The 8,518-nt window shown below is 39.2% G+C and overlaps 2 annotated features.

Moving 5' to 3' along the window:
* Positions 241 to 847: an enhancer, noted in NCBI's record as "OCT4-NANOG-H3K27ac-H3K4me1 hESC enhancer chr5:4615268-4615874 (GRCh37/hg19 assembly coordinates)". NCBI's record gives its function as "activates a minimal SCP1, AML or CMV promoter by ChIP-STARR-seq in primed H9 embryonic stem cells {active_cell/tissue: H9 hESC(primed)}" and the evidence as "EXISTENCE:reporter gene assay evidence [ECO:0000049][PMID:30033119]".
* Positions 848 to 1,454: an enhancer, noted in NCBI's record as "OCT4-NANOG-H3K27ac-H3K4me1 hESC enhancer chr5:4615875-4616481 (GRCh37/hg19 assembly coordinates)". NCBI's record gives its function as "activates a minimal SCP1, AML or CMV promoter by ChIP-STARR-seq in primed H9 embryonic stem cells {active_cell/tissue: H9 hESC(primed)}" and the evidence as "EXISTENCE:reporter gene assay evidence [ECO:0000049][PMID:30033119]".

Raw genomic sequence — 8,518 nt, forward strand, 5'->3', positions numbered from 1 at the left:
TCAATAATCCAGAATAACCTTCCCATCTCAATACCTTAACTAAACCATATTTGCAAAGCCCCCTTTGCCATATCGAGTAACATTCACAGGTTCTGTGTATTAGGATGTGGATAAAATGGAGTGTTATTCTTCAGCTTATCATAACCATTAAAGAAAATGAACCAATAATATGATTTTCACCACCCCCTCTTCACCCATTCACATCATGAAAATGTATCTGTCCCACATAATTTTATGGTCAAACATTTCAATCCAACTAAGGAAACCAATCATCCTTATTTCATTTTTAATAAACTCAAAATCTAGAAAAAAATAAAAGCTACTCAACTTGTTTTTTAAGGCTACTATAGCTTGATCTAAAAGGAAGTACAAGAAAAGACGATCAAAACTAAAGCCTGCTGAAGAAATTCTAGCTTATGAATATAGATGCAAAAATTAATTAAAATGCAAGCTAAGTCAGATATATCTTAGAAATGCAAATACAGTTAAGCATCAGAAAATCTACTTACACTAAGGGAGAGCCAAGATGGCCGAATAGGAACAGCTCCGGTCTACAGCTCCCAGCGTGAGCGACGCAGAAGACGGGTGATTTCTGCATTTCCATCTGAGGTACCGGGTTTCTCTCACTAGGGAGTGCCAGACAGTGGGCGCAGGCCAGTGGGTGCGCGCATCGTGGACGAGCCGAAGCAGGGCGAGGCATTGCCTCACCTGGGAAGCGCGAGGGGTCAGGGAGTTCCCTTTCCAAGTCAAAGAAAGGGGTGACAGACGGCACCTGGAAAATCGGGTCACTCCCACCCGAATACTGCGCTTTTCCGACGGGCTTAAAAAACGGCGCACCACGAGATTACATCCCGCACCTGGCTCGGAGGGTCCTACGCCCACGGAGTCTCGCTGATTGCTAGCACAGCAGTCTGAGATCAAACTGCAAGGCGGCAGCCAGGCTGGGGGAGGGGCGCCCGCCATTGCCCAGGCTTGATTAGGTAAACAAAGCAGCCAGGAAGCTCGAACTGGGTGGAGCCCACCACAGCTCAAGGAGGCCTGCCTGCCTCTGTAGGCTCCACCTCTGGGGGCAGGGCACAGACAAACAAAAAGACAGCAGTAACCTCTGCAGACTTAAGTGTCCCTGTCTGACAGCTTTGAAGAGAGCAGTGGTTCTCCCAGCACGCAGCTGGAGATCTGAGAACCGGCAGACTGCCTCCTCAAGTGGGTCCCTGACCCCTGACCCTGGAGCAGCCTAACTGGGAGGCACCCCCCAGCAGGGGCACACTGACACCTCACACTGCAGGGTATTCCAACAGACCTGCAGCTGAGGGTCCTGTCTGTTAGAAGGAAAACTAACAAACAGAAAGGACATCCACACCGAAAACCCATCTGTACATCACCATCATCAAAGACCAAAAGTAGATAAAACCACAAAGATGGGGAAAAAACAGAACAGAAAAACTGGAAACTCTAAAAAGCAGAGCGCCTCTCCTCCTCCAAAGGAACTCAGTTCCTCACCAGCAACGGAACAAAGCTGGATGGAGAATGACTTTGACGAGCTGAGAGAAGAAGGCTTCAGACAATCAAATTACTCTGAGCTATGGGAGGACACTCAAACCAAAGGCAAAGAAGTTGAAAACTTTGAAAAAAATTTAGAAGAATGTAAAACTAGAATAACCAATACAGAGAAGTGCTTAAAGGAGCTGATGGAGCTGAAAACCAAGGCTCGAGAACTACGTGAAGAATGCAGAAGCCTCAGGAGCTGATGCGATCAACTGGAAGAAAGGGTATCAGCGATGGAAGATGAAATGAATGAAATGAAGCAAGAAGGGAAGTTTAGAGAAAAAAGAATAAAAAGAAATGAGCAAAGCCTCCAAGAAATATGGGACTATGTGAAGAGACCAAATCTACGTCTGATTGGTGTACCTGAAAGTGATGGGGAGAATGGAACCAAGTTGGAAAACACTCTGCAGGATATTATCCAGGAGAACTTCCCCAATCTAGCAAGGCAGGCCAACGTTCAGATTCAGGAAATACAGAGAACGCCACAAAGATACTCCTCGAGAAGAGCAACTCCAAGACACATAATTGTCAGATTCACCAAAGTTGAAATGAAGGAAAAAATGTTAAGGGCAGCCAGAGAGAAAGGTCGGGTTACCCTCAAAGGGAAGCCCATCAGACTAACAGCGGATCTCTCGGCAGAAACCCTACAAGCCAGAAGAGAGTGGGGGCCAATATTCAACTTCTTAAAGAAAAGAATTTTCAACCCAGAATTTCATATCCAGCCAAACTAAGCTTCATAAGTGAAGGAGAAATAAAATACTTCACAGACAAGCAAATGCTGAGAGATTTTGTCACCACCAGGCCTGCCTTACAAGAGCTCCTGAAGGAAGCACTAAACATGGAAAGGAACAAGCGGTACCAGCCGCTGCAAATCATGCCAAAATGTAAAGGCCATCGAGACTAAGAAGAAACTGCATCAACTAACGAGCAAAATAACCAGCTAACATCATAATGACAGGATCAAATTCACACATAACAATATTAACTTTAAATGTAAATGGACTAAATGCTCCAATTAAAAGACACAGACTGGCAAATTGGATAAAGAGTCAAGACCCATCAGTGTGCTGTATTCAGGAAACCCATCTCACATGCAGAGACACACATAGGCTCAAAATAAAAGGATGGAGGAAGATCTACCAAGCCAATGGAAAACAAAAAAAGGCAGGGGTTGCAATCCTAGTCTCTGATAAAACAGACTTTAAACCAACAAAGATCAAAAGAGACAAAGAAGGCCATTACATAATGGTAAAGGGATCAATTCAACAAGAAGAGCTAACTATCCTAAATATATATACACCCAATACAGGAGCACCAAGATTCATGAAGCAAGTCCTGAGTGACCTACAAAGAGACTTAGACTCCCACACATTAAGAATGGGAGACTTTAACACCCCACTGTCAACATTAGACAGATCAACGAGACAGAAAGTCAACAAGGATACCCAGGAATTGAACTCAGCTCTGGACCAAGCAGACCTAATAGACATCTACAGAACTCTCCACCCCAAATCAACAGAATATACATTTTTTTCAGCACCACACCACACCTATTCCAAAATTGACCACATACTGGGAAGTAAAGCTCTCCTCAGCAAATGTAAAAGAACAGAAATTATAACAAACTATCTCTCAGACCACAGTGCAATCAAACTAGAACTCAGGATTAAGAATCTCACTCAAAACCGCTCAACTACATGGAAACTGAACAACCTGCTCCTGAATGACTACTGGGTACATAACGAAATGAAGGCAGAAATAAAGATGTTCTTTGAAACCAACGAGAACAAAGACACAACATACCAGAATCTCTGGGACGCATTCAAAGCAGTGTGTAGAGGGAAATTTATAGCACTAAATGCCCACAAGAGAAAGCAAGAAATATCCAAAATTGACACCCTAACATCACAATTAAAAGAACTAGAAAAGCAAGAGCAAACACATTCAAAAGCTAGCAGAAGGCAAGAAATAACTAAAATCAGAGCAGAACTGAAGGAAATAGAGACACAAAAAACCCTTCGAAAAATTAATGAATCCAGGAGCTGGTTTTTTGAAAGGATCAACAAAATTGATAGACCGCTAGCAAGACTAATAAAGAAAAAAGAGAGAAGAATCAAATAGACGCAATAAAAAATGACAAAGGGGATATCACCACCGATCCCACAGAAATACAAACTATCATCAGAGAATACTACAAACACCTTTACGCAAATAAACTAGAAAATCTAGAAGAAATGGATAAATTCCTCAACACATACACTCTCCCAAGACTAAACCAGGAAGAAGTTGAATCTCTGAATAGACCAATAACAGGATCTGAAATTGTGGCAATAATCAATAGCTTGCCAACCAAAAAGAGTCCAGGACCAGATGGATTCACAGCCGAATTCTACCAGAGGTACAAGGAGGAACTGGTACCATTCCTTCTGAAACTATTCCAATCAATAGAAAAAGAAGGAATCCTCCCTAACTCATTTTATGAGGCCAGCATCATTCTGGTACCAAAGCCAGGCAGAGACACAATAAAAAAAGAGAATTTTAGACCAATATCCTTGATGAACATTGATGCAAAAATCCTCAATAAAATACTGGCAAAACGAATCCAGCAGCACATCAAAAAGCTTATCCACCATGATCAAGTGGGCTTCATCCCTGGGATGCAAGGCTGGTTCAATATATGCAAATCAATAAACGTAATCCAGCATATAAACAGAACCAAAGACAAAAACCACATGATTATCTCAATAGATGCAGAAAAAGCCTTTGACAAAATTCAACAACGCTTCATGCTAAAAACTCTCAATAAATTAGGTATTGATGGGACGTATTTCAAAATAATAAGAGCTATCTATGACAAACCCACAGCCAATATCATACTGAATGGGCAAAAACTGGAAGCATTCCCTTTGAAAACTGGCACAAGACAGGGATGCCCTCTCTCACCGCTCCTATTCAACATAGTGTTGGAAGTTCTGGCCAGGGCAATTAGGCAGGAGAAGGAAATAAAGGGTATTCAATTAGGAAAAGAGGAAGTCAAATTGTCCCTGTTTGCAGATGACATGATTGTATATCTAGAAAACCCCATTGTCTCAGCCCAAAATCTCCTTAAGCTGATAAGCAACTTCAGCAAAGTCTCAGGATACAAAATCAATGTACAAAAATCACAAGCATTCTTATACACCAACAACAGAGAAACAGAGAGCCAAATCATGAGTGAACTCCCATTCACAATTGCTTCAAAGAGAATAAAATACCTAGGAATCCAACTTACAAGGGATGTGAAGGACCTCTTCAAGGAGAACTACAAACCACTGCTCAAAGAAATAAAAGAGGATACAAACAAATGGAAGAACATTCCATGCTCATGGGTAGGAAGAATCAATATCGTGAAAATGGCCATACTGCCCAAGGTAATTTACAGATTCAATGCCATCCCCATCAAGCTACCAATGACTTTCTTCACAGAATTGTAAAAAACTACTTTAAAGTTCATATGGAACCAAAAAAGAGCCCGCATCGTCAAGTCAATCCTAAGCCAAAAGAACAAAGCTGGAGGCATCACACTACCTGACTTCAAACTATACTACAAGGCTACAATAACCAAAACAGCATGGTCCTGGTACCAAAACAGAGATACAGATCAATGGAACAGAACAGAGCCCTCAGAAATAACGCCACATATCTACAACTATCTGATCTTTGACAAACCTGAGAAAAACGAGCAATGGGGAAAGGATTCCTGGGAAAACTGGCTAGCCATATGTAGAAAGCTGAAACTGGATCCCTTCCTTACACCTTATATAAAAATCAATTCAAGATGGATTAAAGACTTAAACGTTAGACCTAAAACCATAAAAACCCTAGAAGAAAACCTAGGCATTACCATTCAGGACATAGGCATGGGCAGGGACTTCATGTCTAAAACACCAAAAGCAATGGCAACAAAAGACAAAATTGACAAATGGGATCTAATTAAACTAAAGAGCTTCTGCACAGCAAAAGAAACTACCATCAGAGTGAACAGGCAACCTACAAAATGGGAGAAAATTTTCGCAACCTACTCATCTGACAAAGGGCTAATATCCAGAATCTACAATGAACTCAAACAAATTTACAAGAAAAAAACAAACAACCCCATCAAAAAGTGGGCGAAGGACATGAACAGACACTTCTCAAAAGAAGACATTTATGCAGCCAAAAAACACATGAAAAAATGCTCATCATCACTGGCCATCAGAGAAATGCAAATCAAAACCACAATGAGATACCATCTCACACCCGTTAGAATGGCAATCATTAAAAAGTCAGGAAACAACAGGTGCTGGAGAGGATGAGGAGAAATAGGAACACTTTTACACTGTTGGTGGGACTGTAAACTAGTTCAACTATTGTGGAAGTCAGTGTGGCGATTCCTCAGGGATCTAGAACTGGAAATACCATTTGACCCAGCCATCCCATTACTGGGTATATAGCCAAAGGACTATAAATCATGCTGCTATAAAGACACATGCACACGTATGTTTATTGTGGCATTATTCACAATAGCAAAGACTTGGAACCAATCCAAATGTCCAACAATGGTAGACTGGATTAAGAAAATGTGGCACATATACACCATGGAATACTATGCAGCCATAAAAAATGATGAGTTCATGTCCTTTGTAGGGACATGGATGAAATTGGAAAGCATCATTCTCAGTAAACTATCGCAAGAACAAAAAACCAAACACCGCATATTCTCACTCATAGGTGGGAATTGAACAATGAGATCACATGGACACAGGAAGGGGAATATTACACTCTGGGGACTGTTGTGGGGTGGGGGGAGCGGGGAGGGATAGCGTTGGGAGATATACCTAATGCTACATGACGAGTTAGTGGGTGCAGCGCACCAGCATGGCACATGTATACATATGTAACTAACCTGCACAATGTGCACATGTACCCTAAAACTTAAAGTATAATAAAAAAAAAAGAAAATCTACTTACATAATATCCTAAATTAGCAATTTAAAGAAAAATTACTTTTGATCATCTTAAAGATGCATATAACACATTTAAAATACATTTAATGTAATTCAATGTCTATTTATAATACAAACCAATAGCAAATTAGAAATGAAAGGTAGATTTCATAATAAAAAGTATTTATCTCATCATCTAAAAGACAAACATAAGGCAAAGGAAATTAACTAAGCAATTCACACATAATAAACACAAATACCTAATGGATAATTAAAGAAGTTCAACCTTTCTAGTAATCAAAGAACCACAAATGAAAACCACAGTTTTATATGTCTACAAAACAAATTGTATAAAAATGCTTGTAGTGTATTTATTAAATAATAGCCAAACAATTTTTTTGTTGTAGTCTCACTATAAATGTCAACCAGAATTTATTTTCATTTTTTGAAAATGGTAACATTTATATAAAGAAACCAATAAGAATCACCAAAAGTTTGTGGAATGAAATGAGAAGAAACTAGCCCATCAGGTATTAAAATATATTATTAAGCCTTAAAATACTGTGGTACTGGCACATGAAAAGTTAGATACACTTTACAAAAACAAATCAACTAAAATCACAGGATTAGACCAACATATATAGGGACTTACTGTTTCACAAAGGCGAAATAATATGTACAACAAACCCCCATGATGCGTATTTACCTATAAATAAACTTTCACGTGTACCCCCCCAATCCAAAATAAAGTTGAAAAAAATGGGGAAAGGGAGAAAAATGGACTGGTGTTTAAACATTTTATATTAGGGCAATTTAGTAGTCATATTTTTAAAAAATACAGTAAGGTTAGCTTCTCTACTTGACATATTACCTCATAACAAATTCCACCTGCATTGAATTTTAATTCACCTTAGAAAGTAAATCAGTTGTTCATTCCAAAATGCCCTTCTCAGCAGATGTGCACAAAAACTAGGTAATTTCAACATTTTGATTCCAACTAGAAATAGAAGAAAAATGTCTCAACTTAATATGGGATATCTAGAGATATAACTGATACGCTTGATGGCAGAATGATATCATTCTTTTAAAAATCAGTGATAAGTCAGTGATGTCCATTTTTTCTGTCTGAATTCAATATTACATGTGTTTCTTGCACATACAATGAGACAAGAAACAAATGAATAACAAAAACTATGCAAATTGAAAAGAAAAACAAAAATTTCCTTGTAGAAACAATATTATGTCTACATACAAAACCTTGAGAATCTATAGATAATTTGTTATAGCTACTGGGAGATTTAGACCAAACTGTTGGATATAAGATAACTTACAAAAACAAAGAACATTCTTATGAATGTTCTGATTAATAAGAATAATGATGCCACAGGAAGAGGTGGGCTGCCACTGTTGCTGCATCTCCCCACATGGCTGCAATCCCCTCCCCCTCTGACTTAAGTGACCTCCAAGGAATTTAAAGGGCCAGCACCCTTTCTCCTTTGTACCTCCTTGATTTTCCTCTTTTTTTTTTTTCACCTTCTGGGAGCCTGACATTCACAAGCAGCTGCATATATAAAGAAAAGTATAAAGTGACTGTGCATACCCAGAAAAAGGGACAAGTTTAGAGAAGACCTATGAAAACTTTGCATATACCCATGAGTCTGGTCCTTCCCACAGAGATATCCTATAATAATAAATACCTTTTTAAAGAGACAAAATAGAAAACCCTGGAGTGGGGAGGGGGGTGGGGAATGGAATCTGATTTTCAGAGTTACCACATTATTTGGATCAAATGTCCAGTTTCCTAAACAAATAAATGAACAAACAAAAACCATAGAGCATACAAAGAAACAAGAAAGCATGGCCCAACCAAAGAAAATAAATAAATCAACAGAAACTGTGCCTCCCTAAAAAAGACCTGTTGGCAGGTCTGCTAGGCAAAGACATCAAACAACTGTCTTTAAAAAGATGCTCAAAGAACTAAAGGAAGATGTAGAGAAAGAAACGAAAAT

Source organism: Homo sapiens, chromosome 5 (assembly GCF_000001405.40).
Source record: "Homo sapiens chromosome 5, GRCh38.p14 Primary Assembly".
NCBI classification, from domain to species: domain Eukaryota; kingdom Metazoa; phylum Chordata; class Mammalia; order Primates; family Hominidae; genus Homo; species Homo sapiens.